Source organism: Homo sapiens, chromosome 20 (assembly GCF_000001405.40).
Source record: "Homo sapiens chromosome 20, GRCh38.p14 Primary Assembly".
Taxonomy (NCBI): domain Eukaryota; kingdom Metazoa; phylum Chordata; class Mammalia; order Primates; family Hominidae; genus Homo; species Homo sapiens.
In genome coordinates, this window is record NC_000020.11 from 34,053,491 (window position 1) to 34,078,236 (window position 24,746).

The 24,746-nt window shown below is 46.2% G+C and overlaps 1 protein-coding gene across 8 annotated transcripts in view, besides 1 other annotated feature; it reads left to right on the forward strand.

Annotated features, from left to right (window-relative positions):
• Positions 1 to 24,746, forward strand: part of RALY (RALY heterogeneous nuclear ribonucleoprotein) — a 90,974-nt gene that overhangs the window by 59,580 nt on the left and 6,648 nt on the right. For 3 of the 8 annotated variants that reach the window (NM_016732.3, XM_005260334.6, XM_017027731.3), the window contains 6 exons: positions 18,576 to 18,840; positions 20,073 to 20,145; positions 20,329 to 20,376; positions 22,384 to 22,550; positions 23,212 to 23,325; positions 23,538 to 23,755. In NM_016732.3, coding sequence (NP_057951.1) covers positions 18,585 to 18,840; positions 20,073 to 20,145; positions 20,329 to 20,376; positions 22,384 to 22,550; positions 23,212 to 23,325; positions 23,538 to 23,755 — 876 coding nt within the window. In that variant the 5' untranslated portion in view covers positions 18,576 to 18,584. Of the gene's footprint in view, positions 1 to 11,553; positions 11,671 to 18,575; positions 18,841 to 20,072; positions 20,146 to 20,328; positions 20,377 to 22,383; positions 22,551 to 23,211; positions 23,326 to 23,537; positions 23,756 to 24,746 lie in introns of all 8 variants that reach the window. The other 5 variants (NM_007367.4, XM_005260336.6, XM_047440016.1 and 2 more) reach the window with 2 other exon arrangements.
• Positions 22,910 to 24,109: an enhancer, noted in NCBI's record as "CDK7 strongly-dependent group 2 enhancer chr20:32664206-32665405 (GRCh37/hg19 assembly coordinates)". NCBI's record gives its function as "activates an origin of replication core promoter dependent on BRD2, BRD4, P300/CBP, MED14 and CDK7 cofactors, with strong dependence on CDK7, by STARR-seq in HCT116 cells {active_cell/tissue: HCT116}" and the evidence as "EXISTENCE:reporter gene assay evidence [ECO:0000049][PMID:35650434]".

Below are 24,746 nucleotides of genomic sequence, written 5' to 3' on the forward strand. Positions count from 1 at the left end.
GGGCTCAAGCAGTCCTCCCACCTCAGCCTCCCAAGTAACTGGGACTATAAACATGTACCACCATGCCCGGCTAATTTTTAATTGTTTTTAGAGACAGGCTCCCACTATATTGCCCAGACTGGTCTTGAACTCCTGAGCTCAAGCAGTCCTCCTGCTTTGGCCTCCCAAAGTATTAGGATTACAGGCGTGAGCCACCATGCCTAGCCAAGAAATATTTATTAATTGAAAATTTTAGTACATTCTCAGGGATTAACTTATGGTCTCCTAACTCTTTGCCCAGTATTCTTTCCATTAAGATAGCTTGGTGGGGCCAGTGGTTGGGCTTCATCTCAGGGTGACCAGATAATAAAGAGAGGGAGGGCTGAATCTCTGTCACTATTGATATTGCTGACAAGGATGGCATTTTCTGGCCTTTGCTGCTGTCCTTATACATACTACCCACTACAGAAAGCCCAGATTCAGTAGTCTCTGGGCTGCAGACTCAAGCTTTTGTTGCCTTTGCTCCCTGTAGTATACTGAACAATGATGCCAGTGACCCCCAGCTTCTCACTCTGCCTTCTCCTTTATTTTCTTTCTCATCAGTGTCTTACATCTCCTTCTATTCTGCTGATGGATGAGGAATTTGAGCTCATCTCACAAACATCAGCTACACGGTTCACTGTTAAGGAGTTGTTGTATCATGTACCTTGGGAAACCATTTACTGAAAAACGCCCACCTAGGATTCTTTCACCTGTTCACTAGCAGAAATTTCACTGGTTGCTAGTATAGTGCTGGAGGCTGGGATTGCAAAGATTAATAAAATAGTCTCTGCCTTCAAGGAGTTCAGAATTTAATGGAGGGAGACAGATGTGTAAATACAAAAGTGCAGCAGATGTTGCAGTAGAGGTCAGCAGAGAGTATCTGGGTCCAGAGGAGTGAGTGGCTGGATCTGCCTACGGGGTGGGATACAAAAGCTTTCCCGAAGAGTTTTCTACAGGGACGTCACATCAGTGGGTTTGTACTCAGAAAACTCCTGGCCCCAGCCACCACTGCCAGATCAGAAATTGGTTGCAGGCTGGGCATGGTGGCTCAAGCCTGTAATCCCAGCACTTCGGGAGGCTGAGGCAGGTGGATCACTTGAGGTCAGGCGTTCGAGACCAGCCTGACCAATGTGGTGAAACTTTGTCTCTACTAAAAATACAAAAATTAGCCAGGCGTGATGGTGTATGCCTGGCATCCCAGCTACTTGGGGGGCTGAGGCACAAGAATCGCTTGAACCTGGGAGGTGGAGGTTGCAGTGAGCTGAGGTCACACTCCAGCCTGGGTGACAGAATGAGACTGTCTCAAAAAAAAAAAAAAGAAAGAAAGAAAGAAATTGGTTCCAGTTGTACTTTATTGATGAAGCGGTCTCCCTCTTAACCTTACTCAATGTTGAGTATGATATTTTGAGCTATCTGTTAAATGGGGGCAATAGTAATACCATTTTCATTTAGAAAATTCCTGAGCACTTAACTTGCATTATCTTAACATTATCTCATTGAATTCTCACAACAGCCTTATGGAGAAAGTACTGTAATATTATTCCCATTTTTACAAATGAGAAAACCAGGCACAGAGAGGTTAAATCATTTACCCAGGATCATACAGCCAACGTATAGCAGAGCTGGGATTTGAACCCCAGGTAGTCTGATTCCAGAGTCATTTTCCTAAAACAACCCCAAAAAGAGCCATTGTGACCTTGATATAATTCTTACCTCAAAGAGTTGTAAGGATGAGAATTTAAATACTTAGCAATGTATCTTCCATGTAATAAGCAATTAATATAATGATCATTTATATTACATTCTTTCCTAAATGCTGGGGTGGATTGGGCTGTTGCAAAGATACTGCCTTCCTGTCTCTCTCCAACTTTTCCTGGCTTTAGCATCTGTGCAGCCTGCCGCTTTGTATCTTAAACAGCATAGATAAGGAAGGAAGCAGGGGTGGGGCATGGGGGCTGTGGTATGTGGCTCTGCTGGAGTTCAATTCAGCAGATACTCCCTAAGCACCCACTCTGGGCTAGAGCCTGTTCTGATGCCAGTGGGGATGCCAAGATGAAATAGATTGTGGTCCCTGCTGTCCAGGAATTCACAGTCAGTCTGGGAGGAGAGATGACACTGAAACAGAGTATTTTAATACAATCTCCTCAGGTGGATCTTAGCCAGCACATCAGACCCCACTGCCCAACGGCTCATACCACAACTAGCAGGGCAAGAATGCCTTGCTATTATATTGATTGTTAAAATAATAAACTTGTTAATATCTTTGACATCATTAAAGTCACTGTTATTAATGTAGAAAGTAGCAGTATGTCTTATTGCATATATTACCTCCAGTTAATGGATCCATGGGCACTATTGGTGCTTCCATCACATGTCTAGCAATGTGCCCAAAAATCTCTATGTTGCTTGAGGAGAGGAGACTAATACATGAGACAAAAAGGGTTTGGCACAAGATGGGATGCTCTGCTCAGGGGTTGGATTGGTGGTTCAGATGCTCAGAAGCTATAGGGACTTACAAGTGCCTCCTTACTGAGCACTGGGCTGCGTACAACATCAGAACGGGTGATGGCTCACTCTTCAGTGTCCACAAAGCCCTTTCTGATCTGATCTCGGCTAGGCACTCTAGTATCATCGGCATCATTTCTTGTTACATCCTAGACTCTGGGCAAACCACAATACATCATATTATTCATTAAATGTGGGATCTCTGTCAAACTTCTGTAACTTTCCTTATGCTATTTCCTCTTAAATGTACTCTCTTACCTGTGTGTGGGTTAACTTCAACTCATCCTTCAGGACAAGATTGGAACTTACTGTTGACTCTTCTTGTCTGAGTCGTCTCCCTTTCTTTCTGTCCCTTAGGTAATTGACATGCCTCCAAGTTCCTAGTTGCTCCTGTCATAGACCTCATCAAGATGAAACATAGGTTCTGGTTTTCTTGAGGTTTTCACCACTGACTGGACTATAAATTCTTCCAGGGGGGAGATTGTACTTTATTAACCTCTGTAGTTTTATACAGTGTCTGGCAGTAATAGGTGAACAATAAATGATTTTTTGATAAATGAGTAAATCTTTTTAGCATGTTATTCCTCTACCTAGGAACCTACAGTAACTTCATGGCACTCAAAACTTTGTAGACTCAAAAGCTAGTAAACACAGTAGACTATACATCTTCACATGTACATGAAAACAGTAATGAGGATTTGATTTTCCCTACTAATTCACCTCTACTCTCCCTACCCCACCACCTGCCCAATATGGTAATACATGGTGCTGCGAGGTTGCCATGAAAGTGGCATTCATTGGAGATAACAGTGTAAATTGGTGTAACTCTTTTGGAAAGCAGTTAAGCAATGTGTTGCCAGAGCCAATAAAATGTTCATATATTTGACCAGTCATTCCACTTCTGGGAGTCTGTCCTAAGGAAATAGTCTAGTTTATACAATAAGCTTTCCCTCAGATGCTATTGTTTATAATAGTGAGAAATTGGAAAAAGCCTAAAAGACCACCAATCTAAACTATGATAAATCTACTCAGGGAAAACCACGAGCTTTTAAAGCAGTAGTGTAAAAAATGATGCTTACCGAAAACTATGCGGCAGTAAGGACAAATATGCTATAATATATATAATAAATGTGTTATAATGCTAATTGAAAAAATTAGGCTACAGAGTTGAGTTATCTAACCATGTAATCCAAACATAATGTGCAAGAAAAACACTGGAAGGAAATACATGAACATGCTAACAGTTATGTCCCATAGAGGGGTGGGGGTTAGATGATTTCATATGGTAATTTCATATAATAAACATACTCAATATAATAGCACAAATTCTTACCCAAATTATTGGTTAAGAATTTTAAAATAATAAACCAGCCAGGTGTGGTGGCTCACGCCTGTAATCCCAGCACTTTGGGAGGCTGAGGCGGGCGGATCACGAGGTCAGGAGATCGAGACCATCCTGGCTAACACGGTGAAACCCTGTCTCTACTGAAAATACAAAAAATTAGCTGGGCATGGTGGCGGGCGCCTGTAGTCCCAGCTACTCTGGAGGCTGAGGCAGGAGAATGGCATGAACCTGGGAGGCGGAGCTTACAGTGAGCCGAGATGGCGCCACTGCACTCCAGCCTGGGCGACAGAGCGAGACTCCGTCTCAAAAAAAAAAAAAAAAAAACAACCTCTGATCTTACCCATTTTAAACAAAGAAATGATATGGTAATATTGCTGTGGTGACAGTAGAGGATTATTTAAAGAATGGTAATAAGAATGGAGAGAGGGGGGCTACATTCTAAAAATATTGAGGCCAAATGAGGAGGGCGTGGTGAATAACAGTATGTGGGGGAAATGTATATGCCTAATAGAGAACATTGGTTCATGGAGTTTAATGAGATGTCCAAGGTCACACAGCTAGTAAGTGGCTGATCCTGGATTTAAACCTTGTTCTGTCTCTGTCCAAAGCCATGCCCTTTCTCCTGCAGCTGAGACACCTATTACAGTTTTGGAGAAACTTTTTTTTTTTCTTTTAACCAGTTGCAGTGTAGAAGCTTGTTTAGTGTAGTGCCTCCTTTTTGAGGGGAAGGGGGCCGGGAAGGGTTAATTCTTTCTAAGACAATGACAAGGGGGAAAGACCATAGATACCAAAGCTGCTTCTGTCATGATCAGTTGAATTGATGAGTTTAGAAGTTCACTAGGCATTGGGTGTGTTATACCTGTCGTTTTGAGGGCTGTTTTTTGTGAAGTTGCAGGGGTTCATTGGTTGGCTTTCGTTTGATGCTTAGCTTATGGTAGCAGGGCATCTTGGACATAAGCGTGCATATGTATACCGTATTACATGCTAATGAACATTTTGTTCATTACACCAAGTTTATTAATGATGCTGCTGCTGTGGGAGTGAGAGAGGGGTCAGGGTGGCAGCTTCAAACAAGGGACAGTGTCTAAGCTGCTCTCTGAAAGGAACGGTTCACCTGAACCATACAATGCCCTATCCCCATACTTCTCAATGACTAATCCAAGAAAAGGTGATTTTGAACTTGAGTCTATCCTTTGGAGTATGATACTCATCCCTTCGGAAGAACCCATTTCACATTGACATGTTCACTCTCTGACCTTAGGCATGTTCTCTGCGCTAGGGTTTACTCTCTGCACTAGGGTTTGCCTAATAGAGAACATTGGCTCAATGAGTTTAATGAGATGTCCAAGGTCACACAACTAGTAAGTGCTGATCCTGGATTTAAACCCACTAGGGTTTACTCATTTATAAAGTGAATGACATATAACCACTCAGAGGATTGTTGTGTATAGATTTGGTAGCCTTAACTCATGAAGAGTCTTGTAAGCCACATTAAAGGATTTGAACTTGATTCTTTATGGTGGGAAGCCCTTGAAGGATTTTAAACAGGAGGTGGCAGGGGCACACTTGATTGATCACACAGGAAGCAGATGCTTAGTAATGTTTGTGGAGTTAATGTTGTTACCAGGGAGACAAAGGCAGAGTGGCTACAACTGTGGCATCATTCTCAGTGGTCCCCTGTAGACCAAACATGTGACACTGTGGGAGATGATGCTTAGAGCCCTAAGTTATGTTTGGATCAGCACCCTGGAGAGAGGTCACCCGTTCCTTCCTTCCCCTGTCTGAATGTGGGAAATTTAAGATATATGTTGATGCATATGCTGTCTTATAGGGTCAAGCCTTTGGGGCTGTGAGGGGTGCCACTCAGTGTGTTCAAGGAGAAGGATTGTTGTAATGAGGAAAATACTGATTCTGCATGAAAGGATTTTAATCAACTGCCCTGATACCTGAGGGACACAGTACTTGGCTGGAGTGCTGAATTGTGCACCATCCAGCCCTTGCTTCCAGCCTGCTGGCTTCCTGCTTGGGTGCCTCTGTCTAGGAAGACCTGCAGCAGCTGTCCATCCTGGGAGTATTCCTGTCTATGCTTACGTGGCACATGTCAGGTAACAGAGCATGTTATCTCCTTTGACCCTCACAACAACCTGTGTTACAGGGATTTTTATCCCCATTTTACAGGTGGGGAACTGTGAACCTCAGAAAAGTCAAGTGCCTTTCCAGGTCATACAGCTAGTAGACACGGGATTCAGGCCCCAGCGCTCTACAGGCAAGGAGAAATCCAAAGCTAATAAGCCCCCATTACTATTTTAACTTAGAGCTATGCCTGTTGTGGTAGGAGTTAAGCCTCCCTGTCATACAGGTTGGGAGATGAGAACAGGATGCACTACCACGGCACAGCCTTCTGCACCCTTACTCAGCCACAGAATGTAGGAGTTCCATCAGAGATACCAAATAGTGAGCAACTGAGGGCTTCTTGAAATATCAGCCCTTGGGGCCCTGTTGCCCAGCAGGGGAGCCCAATCTGCTCTAGAGGGTCCTCAAAGCACAAGGAGGCCTTGGTGGGAACCTTTGCTTAGCGTCCTCTTCCACCTAATTTCTCAAGTTGTATTCCTTATGAGCTCTGGCAGCTGCATTGTTCCATATGCTCATTTATTTATTCATTCAGCACTTAATAAGTACCTACTCTTGTCTTTCCTTTTATGTTCAAGGCACATTTCCAAATACTAGAGTTTTGGTGAGACACTTGAAGAGACTTTATCGCATCCACCGTGATAGTATTTTTTTCCTTGATCACAGTTCAGCTCTAGGTTAATATTCCATTAGAACTGACCACCTTCTCTTTTATACTCACATGGAAAAGTTATTGCAGGTTCCAACAACAACAATAATAATTGAGGTTGAGCATCCGTAAGTTGAAAATCCAAAATTCTCCAAAATTGGAAACTTTCTGAGTGCCAACATCACATTCAAAGGAAACGCTCATTGGAGCATTTCAGATTAGGGATGCTCAGCCAGTTAAGTATCTGCAGATATTCCAAAATCTATAATCTGAAATGCTTCTTGTCCCAAGCATTTGGATAAGGAATACTTAACCTGTAGCAGCAGGAGCTAATATATTCGCATGCTTTCTGATGTGCTGGACACTATTCTGAATGCTTACATGAATTATTTTATCCTCTAACAACCCTAGAGATATGTATTGCTATTTCCATCTTACAGGTAAGATAGACACTTCCCAAAAGGTCATGTCAGCCAGTTCAGTAACAGAGTGAAGGCATTTGGTTTCAGGTATCTCCTGACGACATTCCATGTCCTGTCACACAGGAGTAAGGATTCAGGCTTTGGCTCCTGCTTGATGTCAAGCCATGTATTTAACTCCTACACACAGCAAGCTTTACCTCTCTGTATACTGTGTCATATGACCCACTCAGCTCTGAGTTATGCTGAAAGAAAACACTACATAAGCTCAAAGCAAAAAGCAGTTTTGTACACTGATGAAAATTTGACGACGCACATGGAAGATTGAAGGTGCACTAATTGTGCCTTTGAGCACTGGTTAAGAGCTACTCAATTTGCCCAGTCATAGTCTTAGGTAAGTACAGTAGCATTCAGGAATGAATCTGGTGTCCATTCCTCTCAGCTCCCTAGATGGAGAGAGAAGACTGGTTTGTAAACAGCCATGATAAAAGACAGAAAATGAGAAAACCTTTTCTTCTCCCTTTGACCTTCCTGGCTGGTTTCCTGGTGTTTGTCAAAGTATGGAGAGAGGGTCTGGAATACCAGACTCTTCAGGAATATACCCCCAGGCTTCAGGAAAGTGGTTCCAGCCCCCCATTAAGCCTAGATTGTCTTCCCTTGCAGGATGTAGCATGACGTAGAGCAGAGACCAAGATAAAGCACCATTAGAAGTGTTTGGTGGCAAGTCCTTAGTCTCCCTATCCCCTTCTCTCTTAAGAGAGAGACAAGAAAAGGAAAAAAATTGGATAGTTTTTTGTAAATTAGTCTGACACCAATGTCTAAAAACAATCAGGCTGAAGGACTTGGAAAGAAATGAAGTAAACTTCATGTTTTCTTTGCTTTGGTTTCATAGAAGTTCACAGTTGGGCAAGAGTGGCTTAGAGCTGTGTTACTCAAAGTGAAGTTTAAAAAGCAAAACAAAAGAAAAAAACTGGTTCTTCACCACAAATAGTTTTGAGAAGTACTGACTTATTTAGTTAGTGTGACAGTGTGAAAAATAACCTAAGTCTTTTGATTATGAGATTAATAATACCTGCCTCAGAGTACTGTTTTGGGGATTATTTGATGGTAAATAATATTTTGAGTACTTAAGATTGGCCTACTGCTATGCACTGTATGTGTATTATTTAATCTTCTCCACAATTCTGTAGTAAGTTTTCTGAAACTTTGGATAGGTTATAGGACTTGCCAGAGGTCAAAGGTGTGGTAAGTAAGCAAGTAGGTAGAATTTGAATGGGAGTTATGTGGCATGTTCTGTGTAAGGAGCCTGTTCCACATGAGGGCTCCCTTGTCACTGTACTTTCTCTGTATCACTAATGGTAAAGATCTGCTTTCTTTTTCTATCACTGACCCTAACTTACTTTGTTACCTTGGGCAAGTCCCTTTCTCTGAGACTTAATTTTTCTTATTTACCCTCAAGGATATGCCACATGACCTAGGTTTTTATTCCCTAGATCATGCAGCATATCCTAGGAACCAGGGACTTTATTCATCTCTGGTTCCACAGCACCTAGCTAGATAGGCCTGGCATATCCTAGGAACCAGGGACTTTATTCATCTCTGGTTCCACAGCACCTAGCTAGATAGGCCTGGCATATAATGAGTATTCAGTACTGAGGCCATTGGTTACTCTAGAGGATCTGTAAGGCTCCTTTTACTCTCTACTTTCTCTGAACATCCTACATACTTTATTCTCTGCCTTCCCCACCCTTCCTCAACATCATATTTTCTACCTAGTTCATAGGACAGCATGACCTTATTTCCTTATGTCTGCCTGTCATAAGCAGTCTTGATCCTGCATACTTTCAGACAGCCCACATGATACCTATGTTTTTATTTGTCTGTGAAATGTGACTAGGATAAACCACCAGGGATAACACAAATTAAGGGGTAGAAGGGGCCTGCTCACAAAATCAGAAGAACACTCTTATTCCATTCCTACCCAGTTGGGCCTGGGCCTATGGCAGCCCTGCCAGGCCTGAGTAATGGCCATAGCCTGGAGCAGGGTTTTCCTTGAGCTCCATCGGGGTTTCCAGTAATTGGAACATGGCACCTTCCAACTTGTAATGGATGGCAAAACAAGAGGGGCATTTGTCACTGCCTGACTTCCCTGTGGGAAAGAGGCTCATAAGTCACAGCTGACAAACCCTTTGATGACTTTTAAACTTCATTTACAGAACAGAATAGCTATAATCAACCAACAGCAAGCAGTGACTAATCTTGCCACATTATCAGTGTGAGGAGCCAACTCTTAAGGCATAGGAATGGGGCGGGGGCCATCCCCAAAGCTCACAGCAAGTGCTGATTGGCTCTTGGACTTGAGAGTATGCCTTCAGCTAGGCCCTGTGAGTTTATGCTCAAAGGATCAGTGTTAGGAGGTAGAGGAAGAAACTGACCTCCAGGCAGATACAGGGCATGCCCAGTTTTGAAGCCATTCTGGGCCAAGATTATGAGACCAGCTCTGGTCTCGCACATATTCATCCTACCTCTGTCATTTCCTGGCTTGAGCAAGACCAGACACCAAGCTTTGGTTTCATCGTATGTGAAATGGTCACAACATGTATCATCACTATCTCATAGCAGAAGGCTTAGTGCAGTTCCTGGGATGTAAGTACTCCACAAGTATTGATGATGGTTATCATGATCACATGTTTGGGCCTGGAGTACCTTTTGTGGTCACATGGTTTAAAACCTAGGTCATATGGCATGTCAGCAAAGCCAAGACCATTCTTCCTGTGGATGGGGGCTCAGTGGGAGCAATCTAGTGGAATGGGAATAACACAGGCTTTAGAATCAGACAAGCCCTTGGGTCTTTCGGTCCAAAGCATGCAACTTAATGTGACTGTAGACAAATTAAGCTGTTTCTGAGTCTCAGTTGTATCTGTAGAGTGCAGATGATACTACATATCTCATTAGATTGTGATCAGGATTACAAGAGATTATGCCTGTAAAGCTTTCAACTCAGTGCCTGGTATAAAGTTCTACATATTAAATTGTATGTTCCCTTTTTGTTCTCCCTCAAGGCAAGAATAAGTATGCATCTATCCAGGGAAGCAGGAGACAGCAGTGAAGACATTCTTGTATTTCAAACTTCTATTTCCAGCTCTATGTACAGGAGGAAGAGGAGAATAAGGGGATCAAAGAGGAGAAAGGGATACATTTTGTATATTGTTCCTCCCTCCTGCCAGGCCTCTTCTGGTGTCACTACCCAATGGGAATTCCTCTTAAACACTCTCCCTTTTGGTAGAGCCTTCCGTGCTGCTCCTACCCCTTCTCTGATCTCTCAGACTACTTTGCTTGGGGAGTAGACCATCTCAGGGCACGTGTGCCTTGTGGCCATGGTAGATGTCGCCTGCTGGATTGGGATTTGCTTGAGGTCCCAGACCAACCGCTGGATAAATAAATAAATAAATGATTGGTTAGTTAGTTATTTGATAATACCTGGCCCATAATTAGCTCCGTGTTTGGATATTTATAATTACAATCAGATGGATAAGTCTGTGTTTGGATGACTTATTTGGCAAAAAATAAAGAGGTTGACAATCATTTGTAGGTCTTCAATTCTAACTCAGTATCGGGGATTATAGGCATAAGTTACCTACCCATCCCTCCTTAACTTGTCCCCTTCCTGGAACTATGAAGGGGAGCTTGTCGCAGATGGTAAGCCTCAGCCTAAGGCCACAGACAAGAGTAGAGTTAGTGTTCAAGATGCAGGGAGGGTGGGATTATATACCCAGAGCATGCTATGGGGAGATAACTGAGGCCTGCCTTCTGTTTCTGCTTTGGGGTATCCTCTCAGGGCCCATTAGATATGGATACCAATGTCAGTAGTATAGGACCGCGCAGTACAGTTGAGGGGTGAGAATGACTCAGCAAAGCTGGAACCCCTCTTGGCTGGTGGTTCCGTCCTCTCCCAGCCCCATTCAGTAGTGGTTTGACAGGAATGGGGCAGGGACACCTTTGTGAAGTTTCTAGGTTTGGTTGCAGATACTAGGACAAGGGAGAGCATGCATAGGCTCCCTACTCCCTACCCCCAACTCCCTTACTCTCAGGCAAAGTGTGATGCACAGGGAGATGACATAGTAAAGAACATACCATCTTAGGGCTGGGATGTGGAGGAGCTAGAGTGCCAGGCTAGGTTCATCTGTTTTCATAGAGCATTTGGGTTATCCAGTTTCTTAATACCTGCTAGTCCCACCCATTATACTAGCACTTTACTCATATTATCTCCAGTTCTTATCCTAATTCTGGGAGGTTGGTATAATTTCCGTTTTGCAGTTGAGGACTCTGAGGCCCAGCAAGTGAAAGGATATGGCCACAGTTACAGTTTCAAGTGATAGGTCTCGGATTGGAACTCAGTCCTGTCGGACTCTAGGGCCTGAGCTATTTTTGCTATTTCATGTGCATTTGTCCTTTGTTACTAAGAAATCGTTTTTAAAAAACAGGTTCCCAGAGAGGGGGCTTCTTGAAAAGCAAGTAGAGCAGAAGACTGGTGAGCACGGTGTTTCCCAGCATCTCCACAGTGCCAGCACAGAGGAGGACACTCAAGAAATGTTTGTTAAGTGAGTGAAGGAGATAGGAAGTGGGTAATAATAGAAATTGGCATAATCCATATTCTTTGATAGTACATTACAGATGCAACAGAGCGCTTTCACATCAATTAGCCTATTTGATTCTTGTATCAGACCTGAAAGGTAATCAGGGAAGAGATTATTTCTGTTTTCGGATTAAAGACAAGAAGGCCTAGGGAAGTTAAATGACTTGTTGCAGGTCACATGACTAAGAACAGCAGAGCCAAGGCCAAGCCTTCTGGACCTGTAGCCTGCACTGCTTACACTTCACCCATCCAGGAGCTTTTGCTGTTTGACATGCAGGGAGCTGACTCATGAGAGTGGGAATGGTCAGGAACTAAAGAGCATTCCTTGGGAAATTAGTCCTGTCTGGCCAGTAACAATCATTTGGGCACTGCTAATGAACCAGGGCTTGGCCAGTTTAATGAGATTAATAGATGTTCTGTCATCCCTGGCCGCCTGGTAAAAGCAGGAGCCTCTGGACCAAGGAGGCCCTGGACACTGATGAGTCTAATTGCTTGACTTTCTCCAGAAATAGTCTTCCCATCACTAGTAGCTGTTTTCCTTCTGAACCACCCGGATGTCCCCAGGGTTATCTAAGGGCAGAGAGCTGGCCACAGGCTGCTGTGACCCTCATCCCCATGCAGGAGAATAAGGCCAGAGGGGTCCAGCAGGACTGAACCAAGACAGAGACTATAAATAGCATTGGGGGCATCAAGACCTAAAGCAGCAGCTCCTCCCTTGAAATGAGTATTTCAGGAGGAAGAGATTTAGTGCTGGGGAGGATTTACAGAGTTCTCTGAGTGCCTGAGACTAGACTTGATCTGATAGGATTTGGAGCACATGAGGGGTGACATGGCAGAGTTTTAGAGTGTTAAGACAGCCATTGAGACAGTGGAATGGAGAGTGTCGAGTAAGAAGCCTTGATTCAGGACCCCTAGCTACACTCCCCTCACCAGCTGGTTGACCTTAAGTAAGTCACTTATCTTTGCTGATCCTCTTTTTTTTTTTTTTTTTTTCATTTATAAAATGGGGCGGGATGGGTGCAGTGGCTTATGCCTGTAATCCCAGCAGTTTGGGAAGCAAAGGAGGGTGGATCAGGAGTTCGAGACCAGCCTGACTAGCATGGTGAAACCCCGTCTCTACTAAAAATACAAAAATTAGCTGGCTGTGGTGGCGGGCACCTGTAGTACCAGCTACTCAGGAGGCTGAGGCAGAAGAATTGCTTGAACCCGGGAAGCGGAGGTTGCAGTGAGCCAAGATCGTGCCATTGTACTCCAGCCTGGGCAACAGATGTCTGGTGAGAGCCCTCTTACAGTTTCATGGACAACCATCTTTTCACTGTGTTCGCACATGATAGAAGACACAAAGTAGCTCTCTGGGCCTCTTATTTGTTTATTTTGTAGAGATGGGGTCTCATGATGTAGCCTAGGCTGGTCTCCAACTCCAGGCCTCAAAGGATCCTCCCATCTTGGCTTCCCAAAGTGCTGGGATTACTTGCGTGAGCCACTTCCTGGCCTGGGGCTCTTTTTTTTTTTAAAGGTATTAAACTCATTCTTGAGGTCTTTCCCTTCCCTTTGGGACCTCATCACTCCCAAAGCCCCACTTCCTAATACCATCACATTAGGGATTAGGTTTCAACACACAGATTTGGTGGAGGAGGCACATTCATACCATAAGAGATATAAACTGGCTTTGTTCACTAAAATTCTGTACAACTGTGAGGAATTGTAGTAGAAAAGGGAAAGGGTGAGGACCAAGGAGAGCGTGTGTGGCTGACTCAAGGTAACATAATCTTGCCAGGGAAGTCAGAACCCAAGGCATCCCTGTGCCATGTGCAATCTTGCCCCTGCAGGTGCCTGTTTTTGAGGTCCTGATTCCAGTTCTGGCTTTGCTCTATTAACCAGTTACCTTGCTTCTCTGAACCTATCTCAGTTTCCCTATGTCAAACACCTCCTCACAGGGCTGTTGTGAGGGTTAAATACTGTAATACTGTGCAGCATTCAGTAATTAGTGGCCGTCCTTTTCTTTTTTTCTTTTTTTGACGGAAAGTCTCGCTCTGTCGCCTAGGCTGGAGTGCAGTGGCGGTGATCAAACAGTTCTCCTGCCTCAGCCTCCCAAGTAGCTGGGATTACAGACATCTGCCACCATGCCCGGCTAATTTTTTTTTTTTTAAAGTAGAGACGGGGTTTCACCATGTTAGCTAGGCTGGTCCTGAACTCCTAACCTCAAGTGATCCACCTGCCTTGGCCTCCCAAAGTGCTGGGATTATGGGCGTGAGCCACTGTGCCCAGCCAGTGGCTGTTGTTACTGTGACGGCTCTCTGGGTGTCTCATTTACCCAAAGATCAGAGGTACCTTTTAGGGCTTTTCTACCTTTGCAAACCCCTGCCACTTTTCTCCATGTTCAGGCTTGTTTTTTGTTGAATTTGTTTTTGCCACATTTCTTCTACTCTTACTAGCCTGGAGAAGCAGGCCCATCCCTTTGAGCCGTAAATTGCATTTCAAAGCCTGTTTCACTAGTGGATTTTAATTAGCTTAAAAGGCCCAGCTTTTATGCAGCAATTGTTTCTCCTGCAGGTAAAGGTGAAGGCACTTATTGGGGAGCCAGTCCCCAGTTTTCTCAAACGTAGCTTTTTTCTTTTTTCTTTTTTTTTTTTTTTTGAGACACTGTGCTCTCTCCCAGCTCCTCAGTGTCCTGGGGGCCTGTCTCTTACCAGCCCCAAATGAAAAATGGAATATAAGGACCCTAGACTTAGCGTCAGAAGACCCATGGGGTAATCTTGTCTCTGCTACTCACTAGCTGTAGCATCCTGGCCAAGTTTTTACTGTGGGTAAAACTTCTCTTCTGTTCTTCCGAGTAAGAGCATTTATAAGCTCCATGTGCACACAGGTCTCTGCTCATCTGACATTGCAGAAGTCTCTAGGAATAAATTTGCTTCTCTCCTTTCCCCCAGCCACCAAGAACAATCCTTCTACCCACCTCTCCTCAGCTCATTGCTAAACCTAGGACCCCTGGGGGCTGCAGACACCTTGCTCTCAATTACACAGCTAATCTGTGAGGCAGAGCTTGGCCCAGGGCAGGAAATAGCTTACCAAGTGAAGTAGCTCCTGCTGAATGGATGTCAATATTTTCTAGGGCTGCCACTCTAAGCTAGGGGGTACCTTGAAAAGCATAGGAAGAATTGGGTGGGAGGGATTGAGTTGGTCTGTGGAAGTGGGTGTTTGGTTGAAAGATTAGAAAATGGTATCTGGGACCTCTGCCCTAGTGGTCCTAACCACTTAAGGCAGCCCACAGCTAGACCTTCTGACCACCTCCTGGGACATATGTTTAACCACTCCCTCCCTAACATTGATTGAACACTTACTGTGCCCCGAGTTTTGTCAGGCCTGCCCTATAACATTTGCAGGGCAGAGTAATAAGAGTACAAATAGAGACCCATGTACCATATGTTTAAACATTTGAAGGTTCTGAATGAAGCTAATAAATTGTGATGTTCCCAACAACCTGGAATACCATGTCTTAATTTAGAATTCTTGGACTCATTAGGATTCTGTACTTGAACCTGGCAGTTCAGGGAGACCTAGCCTGGCTCTACCTCCTTTTCATTCCCTTTCCCACCTCTATCCCTCACTTAGAGGAGCCTCATCAACATGTGTGTGGTCACTCAAGCCTTTGCACACCCCCACAGATACCTGTCTCCTTGGGCTGAGGGAGTCCACACAACTGTAGCACATCCCACTTTCCAAAGGAGTGTACAGGGCATGAAAGTGGATAGGGGGCTGTTTAGACGAGGAGCTCAAGAGGTTGGGTACCTAGCGCATGCCATAGGTGAGCATTTCTCCTTTTAACTGCAGATTTCTCACCCAGAGCAGCATTTGCAACCACATACATACACTTCCCAAGTCTCTCCTCTACAGATCAGAAAACTGATCTTCATATGCCATGGCTTCTGGCTGCCCCTCCTTGGCATTATACAGAATGTGTTCCACTGTGACCTTTACCCTCATCTAGAATGGGGTTCGCAGATGGCAGTATTGGAATAAAGAGGTGCAAGCCAGTGTAATTACAAGATCTTGTGAAGGGCTTTAGGGTTTGCAAAGTCCTTTTATGTACATCATTCCAAACCCCAAGGAATGAGAGAAAAGACTGGCAGGGCCAAACCTTAAAAACTTGGCTCACCAGTCAAGGTGAGTCCTGATCTCGTCACAATACCACGAACAGCTGTTCAGCAAATGCTTCCTGCTCAGTGGTGCTTGTGGCTCCCAGTAGAGGTCACTCTTTGTATCTCTATCCACACCCCAGGCTTGGTTGACTCCCTCTAGCCAAAGCAGGTGGCTTCTCCCTAGGCCAAAACTATAGCACTTTGAGCTGAACCACCTAGGAGAGAATCATCTGATGCCCACACAGGGGCCCTATTAACTTCTTGTATACCCGTGGATAGACAAGGAATTAACCCTTGAATGGCTTGTCATCCATGTAGGAGAGGGACTGTCAGCGAGAACTGTGAGGAATGGCAAGCCCATGGGAAAAACATGTATTGAGCATTTCCTGCCTCGTATGCACAGTGTGTTACTACCTTTGTGTCCCTCACTGCCTGATAAGTGTAGATGAGTGGAACCAAAGGCAAACTGAGTAACAAGAGTCTGTCTCTTTCCAAGTCAGTTCCAAAGCTGGCACCAGCCCCTTCATCAGTAGCAGTGATGGGACCCTCTCAGCCCCTTTCCTTTATCTGAGATAATGCACTGCTGACTCTAGTATATCCATTGGGTTCACTTTAAGCCTAACCCTGGGAGCAGTTTCTTCCCAAGTTGGGCTCACGTCCAGCCTATGATTCCCTTGTAAACAGTACCACCTGCTGGTCAGAACGTGCCAGCTTCCAGGCTGGGAGGATTTAAGAGAAAAAGAGTCTCTTATCCCCTAGTGGGATAAGAGATACAGATGTATCTTTTCCAGTTCACTGAAAAGAAGTCCCCCCAAAATATTAGGTAAATAGGTTGGCAGACTGATGAAAGTTTTTATATATGCTATTTGGAGTCTTTTATCACCTGAAATGGCCTTAAGGTTAGGTTACTGAGATAGGAGGGTTCCAAAAGGGAGTGGCATCAACCTGTACCAATGAGCAGAAGACTGGGCCGGGAACTGCCAAGGCTTAACTTGAGGCTTTTCCTACTGAAATTGAGCTTCTCTCCTTTCCCCTTTCCTCTTGGAGCCTATGCCCAGCCGTAAACTGTACGGGAAAAATTTGTACAGCCCTTTGGGGTAAAAGACCTGGCCAGAATATAGAGAGCAAAGGGTAGGTGCAGTCTCATCTCTAAGCCAAACAGAACAAAATTTGAACGAGTTAGTATTAATATGGGTAACTAAAAAATAAATTTATTAAAAATAATTCTCAGGTGAATGTGCTGACTTTCTGTGGTATCTAAATTGGCTTTAGCTCTGGGAAGCAAAATGATAAAGTTGAAAGAAATAGACTTTAGTGACAGACTGACCTGTGTTCGAATGCTCATTACTAGTAAGTTAATGAACTTGTCAATCAGTTTCTGGTAAAATATGAGTAATCATGACATTAACTTGTGGGATCTTGGGATTATTCAGTATTGTATACCACCCTTAGCCACAGCGAGTGCCTGGTGAGGCTTTGTGTTAGTCCATTCTTGCACTGTTATAAAGAAATACCTGAGACTGGGTAATTTATAATGAAAAGTTTAATTGGTTCACAGTTCTGCAGGCCGTACAGGCTTCTGCTTCTTGGGAGGCCTCAGGAAATTTACAATCATAGTGGAAGGCGACGGGGAAGTAGACACGTCTTCATATGGCCAGGGCAGGAGGAAAAGAGACAGTGGGAGGTGCTACACACGTCTAAACACCAGATCTCACGAGCAGTCACTCACTATCATGAGAGCAGCACCAAGGGGGAAATGCATGATTTCAGTCACCATGATCCAGTCACCTCCCACCAGGCCCCACCTCCAGCACTGGGGATTACAATTAGACATGAGATTTGGGCGGGGACACAAATTCAAACCATTATCGGGCTTAGCTAGCATACCCTTTTCAAAATGGTTGGTAGCAATTCAGACAGGTCTGTGTCTGGATCAGACTAAGCAGTTTTCTTTTCTTTTCTTTTTTTTTTTTAGACAGAGTCTGGCTCTGTCGCCCAGGCTGGAGTGCAGTGGCTTACTGCAACCTCCACCTCCTGGGTTCAAGCAATTTTCCTGCCTCAGCCTCCCGAGTAGCTGGGATTACAGGTACCCGCCACCACGCCTGGCTAATTTTTTGTATTTTTAGTAGAGACGGGGTTTCGCCATGTTGGCCAGGCTGGTTTCGAACTCCTGACCTTAGGTGATGCACCCGTCTCGGCCTCCAAAGTGCTGGGATTACAGTTGTGAGCCACCATGCCCGGCCCCTGCAATTTTCATCATATGGTGGTGGTCTAGAGTAAACATCACTTGCAAATACCATGTGACCATGGTTCTACATTGAAGATCTTCAAATTTAGATCCTGAATGGGATAACATTTGAGATGAGCATTAAAGGAGTAGACTCAAAAGAATTAGAGTCAAGCAGATCAGGGGGTCAGATCCCAGCCCTGCCATTCACTAACATTGTGGTCTCTCTGAATGTGAGATTTCTCCCTTGTAAAATGTTGTGGTTCTGCATATCATGTGAGTAACAAATGAGGGAATGTATGTAAAGCACCTGGCATGAGGTCAGCAGCCAATATGTGGCAACTCTTGGTAATATGACAAGAAAACAAGATGCAGGAACAGGTAGGCTGGATGCTATAAGGGTTAAGGAAGGTAAGAGGCAATTCATTTATCCAGGATATGGGCCGTGGGCAGTCCTTGAGCCCAGCCCAGGGACCCAGCTTCACCGAGGCTCTTTTTCTTCAGGTGGGCACCATGTCCTTGAAGCTTCAGGCAAGCAATGTAACCAACAAGAATGACCCCAAGTCCATCAACTCTCGAGTCTTCATTGGAAACCTCAACACAGCTCTGGTGAAGAAATCAGATGTGGAGACCATCTTCTCTAAGTATGGCCGTGTGGCCGGCTGTTCTGTGCACAAGGGCTATGCCTTTGTTCAGTACTCCAATGAGCGCCATGCCCGGGCAGCTGTGCTGGGAGAGAATGGGCGGGTGCTGGCCGGGCAGACCCTGGGTAAGCCTCTCTTCACTATATTCTCCTAGTATTCTCTAGAATAGCTGCTATCACTATCCAGTTCTCAACCCCCTTCTCTCTTTCTCTCACCGCTACCACTGCTCTGAGATTTTATAAATTTATAAGCTATGTTTAAGTTTTAAATAGTTATAAAATTAATCCCTATAGGGAAGAATTTTAGAAGCCTCTGGAAAACACTTCTGACCTGTCTCTGCTTTCTCAGAGCTTCTTAGTGACAGGCTTTACAGTTCCAGTTAAAATGCAGATTCTCCAGAGAAAGAGAACAGAGTGGCCTAGAACAGCCTGTTACACCGGGTACAGATGACTTAGGTTAGAACCCTTTCTGAGAGCGAGCAGGAGGGCCTGAGAGCACAAGGACAGTGTGAATACGCTTGGTTTTGGTGTCATGTCCATGTGATATGACTATGCTAGTGGTCTCTCTTGAAGTATGTACAGTGTTCATGCATGTGCATTTACTCCTGTGTATATGTGTATGTTTGAAAAGGGGTATCTGTATGTGTTTTTTCCTGAACAAGAAGTATATGGATTGACTGAACATGTGGAGATATGTGGACACAACCCTTGTATGTATAGATGTAGTGTGTGTGTGTGTGTGTGTGTGTGTGTGTGAGAGAGAGAACATATTTGAATGTGTCAGCAGATATACATATATTCATTTACCAGGTATTTATTGAGACCTTTTCATGTAGTAAGGACTATTCTAGGCATGAAGGTGTTTGGTAGAACATCCATGTGAATGTGCATTGGCTCATTTGCATGTGGGTAGTTGTCTATACTGAGTGTACTTGAGAATACACGTTACCTGTGTGTGAGTTTCTTACCTGGATATGTGAATGTATGTGTGAGTGTGGCTCTGTGTATGCGTTCCCATGTACCTGATGTGTTACGCATTTACATGAGTGTATTTGAGAATGCATATAGGAATATTCGACGTGTGTGTGTGGTGGGGCGGGGGGGAGGACATGTTTATGAGCATGCCTGGATGGATCTGAAAGTGTATGGACATATAAACAGGCATATCCATGTGATACCTGGATATGAATCTAATGTTTGAAGATTAGATGTATGAAGACCTTTGTTGGCACCATCAGTGAGCAGAATCCATGTGTATACCGTGTAAGCACATGAATTGCTGTGCGTGTGCATGAGGTTGATGTGTGTGGGCACACTGTCATGTTAGCATTCCAACTCTGCCTTCTCCCTCCACACAGACATCAACATGGCTGGAGAGCCTAAGCCTGACAGACCCAAGGGGCTAAAGAGAGCAGCATCTGCCATATACAGGTGGGGCTGTCTGACTGTCTGTCTGTCTGGTGGGATGACTCTCTCTTTCCACAGAGGGAGTAAATGCTGGTGTGACAGTGTGCTGAATCTAGAACTTGGGGAGGTGTCTGGAGATGAGGGCCTGTGGAAAGTGGGCTGAGTGGCCGTCCCTAAGCTCCAGCCCTCTCCCCTTTGTTTCCCCAGTGGCTACATCTTTGACTATGATTACTACCGGGACGACTTCTACGACAGGTGAGCAGGGGAGGGGCGTGCCCAGGCATGAAACAGCCAAGCTGGAAGGGTCTTGAGAGATTGTTGGTGCAGCCCACTGAGTTCTCCAAATGAGAACCAAAACCCAGAGGTTTGCCTGGGGTTGCTCCACCAGTCGGTAGCAGAGCTGAGACTGGGGTCCTGTGCTGCAGGTGCTCAGGCCAGAGCTCCTACCACCATACAACACTGTCTGCCATGCTAACTGCCCTTTTTCCTTCTTGTCCTTGGGTGAGGCTCAAGGAGACCGTACAGCCAAGAGCTATGTAAGTGTGGCTAGTTGGAATACACAACAGGGTACAGCGCTGGTTGCAGGGAGTTTGAGCCCTTCCCTCTGTGAGGTGCCCAAGCAGCTGGTAGGAGCCCCAGAGCTCAGTCTAAGCTTCTTGGGTTTATATTTAGAGACAAGAGGCCAGCAGCCATTTGGAAGTCTAATTAGTCCCTGGCGGGCTGTGGTCTACCCTGCACTCCCAAGCCCTACCCAGACTCCAGCCCAGAGGCTGTGGGCTCCCACTACAACAGCACTAGCCACATTCTTGAGTAGAAATCATGGTAGATACTAACTCAAATCTCTCCTCCTCCCTGCTTCTCTCCCTCTGTCCAGCTTAGCCCACCCCAGGCAGCCCAAGAAGAACAGTGCCTCTCTGAGCATGAGTCGTCCGCCCCCATCCCCACCCCGCCCCTGTGAGTCGTTTCAGGAGACAGTGTGGTGTAGTGGAAAGTGTCTTAGCCTGGGGGTCAGAAGATTTAGATGCTAATCTCAGCTCTGCCACTGAATGGATTATGTGATCTTGGGCAAATTCCCTTCCCAGTTTGTGAAATGGGCTTGCACCAAGTGATCTCTCCAGGCTCCTCCAGCTCTGGGATTCTGTGGTTCAGTGATTCTGACCAAGGCCAGAGCCGTTCCCTCCCCTTGGGGGCAGAAATGCAGGGTCTGGGATCGGATCCATTCCCAGAGACTCTCCATCTGCAGCCATCACCACCTCCAGGAAGGGGCTCCCTGAACAAAGGAGCCCCAAGGAATGGGGCTTTTGCCCAGTGATGGCAGGTTTCCTGGCCGTTGTCAGGAAAATTGACCCAAAGTTTACCCCCTGGGCTGCGATTCCCTGAAAAAGGTGGCAGCAACAGATGTCAGAGAGACCACTTCTCAGCCTACTGAGTTTCTGCCTGGTCAGCTGGAAAGGAAGCCCTCCTAGAGAGGGCTTGGAGATGACTTTGGTTGGGGGCAGTGCACAGCCTGGGAGCCCTGGGGGGGTCTGATTGAGCTGCCCAACCTTGATACTCTACCAAGCCCCTGGCCTTTGTCTCTGGAATGGAGCACGAAGGATGTGGTGATTAAGGAGGTCAAGTAAGGAAAGGGCTTAGAGTTCAGTCTTATGCCTCTGAGGTCATGGGTTCGTGAATTGAGGGTCTCAGTACCCTGACCTTTCATCTATTACACGTTCTAAAGTGTGTTTTTAACCGAATTCTTTCATGCTGTGCCCTTGGGTGGACACTGAATGTGGATAGCCATCCTCATTTGGCATATGGGGAAACTGAGGCTCAGGTAGGCTCAGTTGACCCCCACTCCCATACCTCTCTATTCCTAGCTGGGGATTTGTGCTGCTTTGAGATTTGCAAACTCTGAGCAGAGGTTGGGGTGGCAGTTGACCAAGCAGAAGCCAGGTCATGTAATAGAGCAGGCCTGGGTGCCAGGGGACCTAGGGATGTCTCCTCTTTTGAATGGGGTATAACTGCTACCACCTGATGCCTTGCCTGCCCTTACTGGGCCTGGATGGTTGGAGAGGTTGTAGTGAGGTAGTGAGGATCCCAACAGCCATCAGGGTCCGGCAAGCCCTTCCTCTTCACTCCAGGGCTTGCTAGGAGCCAGCAGAGGTGTGTAGTGCAGGCCTCCCAGCCCCTCACCAGCCACACACGTTTGTAGCCGGAGCTGCAATACCGCCCTGGTGGCCACAAGCCATGCTGCAGCCTCTGGCCCATCTGCCCTCACAGGCTCTTCGACTACCGGGGCCGTCTGTCGCCCGTGCCAGTGCCCAGGGCGGTCCCTGTGAAGCGACCCCGGGTCACAGTCCCTTTGGTCCGGCGTGTCAAAACTAACGTACCTGTCAAGCTCTTTGCCCGCTCCACAGCTGTCACCACCAGCTCAGCCAAGATCAAGTGTGAGTGACTGTATCATATTCCTAAGTAATTTGCATTTTTATCATTAGCAAAATAATAGAATCACATTTTTTACATTGGAACATAGATAAAACAACAAGTCTTCCACAGTTCTGCTGCTCTAACACAGCCAAGTATTTTCATGCATTTCTAAGAGGAAACAGCTGATGTTTTAGGAGGAGGGGTTGTGTTGGGCACAGAGAGTCCAGTGCTGGATATGGTGCCCAGTGAAGAAATGGTGCCATCTTTCCTCTAGTAAGGATAAGGACAGGTCTACCCAGGCCCATTACTCCACATTCACTCTGGTACACACATGCTGCTTAACTAATCACCCAGGAATTCAGATTCCAAAAGACACATGTTCTTGCTCAGGTGCACACAGAAGAGCACACCACACATACACACCTGTGCTCCTGTCTGTCTTTGGTCCCTTTCAGAGTTGAGAGATCAGGAGAAAAGATAGCCAGGTTCAGAAGTGTGTGCTGTCACTGTAGGGATGGACGCCAGGTAGTCTAAGGAGGAGACCTTTTTCCTAAGCAGGGAAAAAACAAAACAAAACAAAAAATAACTGCTTTCCTGGTTGAAAGAACAGGGCTGAGGTTTTGTGCTAGTGTCAAGCCTCCAGCCCCCTAGGTGACAGCCCTGTCCCCCCTCCACTCCCAGTAAAGAGCAGTGAGCTGCAGGCCATCAAGACGGAGCTGACACAGATCAAGTCCAATATCGATGCCCTGCTGAGCCGCTTGGAGCAGATCGCTGCGGAGCAAAAGGCCAATCCAGGTCAGCCTCTGAGGATTCTCACCCACCTCCATGACCAGGGCACAGGGCAGAGCATGGGGAAATAGTACATGGGAGAGAGGAGCTAGGGTGGCCCTGCAGATCCTGGACCACCTGCACTCACCATGCTGAGGCCAGCTTCCGCTAAGGTGCTGCCCTAGACAGCTACCCCAGGCTGAGTTTTATTCTCCCCTCCTCCACCCCTTCCCCTCAAGATGGCAAGAAGAAGGGTGATGGAGGTGGCGCCGGCGGCGGCGGCGGTGGTGGTGGCAGCGGTGGCGGTGGCAGTGGTGGTGGCGGTGGCGGTGGCAGCAGCCGGCCACCAGCCCCCCAAGAGAACACAACTTCTGAGGCAGGCCTGCCCCAGGGGGAAGCACGGACCCGAGACGACGGCGATGAGGAAGGGCTCCTGACACACAGCGAGGAAGAGCTGGTGAGGGCCTGGCCAGGGGCACGACTGGGACTCGACTGTGCTCCTACTCTCAGGAGGCCAACAGGGGAATGGGCAGCCTGAGCTGGTTGCCCCCACTGTGAACTTCCTGTTCTCTCCTTCCCAGGGGTTCTGGTCCTGGGGGAAAGAGGGAAGAATGAGCAGGGGGCACTTGCCTATCTCAGACACCATCAGAAGTCCCACTGAGGCCTAGGGCAGACCTCCCCCAAATGCGGGCACATTCTGGCCTCCGGTTTCCACATGAGTTGGAGAATGGGAGATTCGGACATAAGGGAGCACACACGGCCTGCAGAGCTTCAGAGCAGGGCTGGGGTGGCTTGTGGAGGCCACAGCCAGGAGGTGGGTTTTTCTAAAAGCCATTGCTGCTTAAGCATGAAGCAAAAGCTGTCTCATAAGGGGGTGAGCTCCCCGCCTGTTACTAGAACTATTCAGGCTGAGGCCGGCAGGCCATTTGACAAGGAGCTTATGTTGAGTGGGAGGGTGGACCAAACTCTGAGTCTGTGGGATATGGGTTGTACACTTGCTGCTCATTTACTTAATGAGCGCTCATTGAGCACCAAGACCCAGATCATACTCTCTAACTTCACATAACCTTAACAAGAGCCCTGTACTATGCAGAGTATTCTGTTCCCACATTTTACCCTGTGAGGAAATCGAGGCTCAGAAAGGCTGAGTGGCATGCTCAGGGCATCAGCTCGTAGGGACTGAGCCAGGGTTGGAGTCCAGACTGACTTGCTGGATCTGCAGCTTTCTCCTTTTCAGCACTGCTGGGTTCTATCGTGAGAACAGATGGGCTCATGGCCATGACGGTTAGGAGGTCTGCCTTATGCTAGCTCATCTCTCCTTTGAGCGTAGCCTGATCCTTCATCTTATTTTCTCAGGCATAGCAGTGTCCATAAAGGCCCTAACAAAGACTTGGATGCCCCCAGAGATGGGGAGCTCACCAGTCTATAAGGCTTTCAGCCTTCTCCAG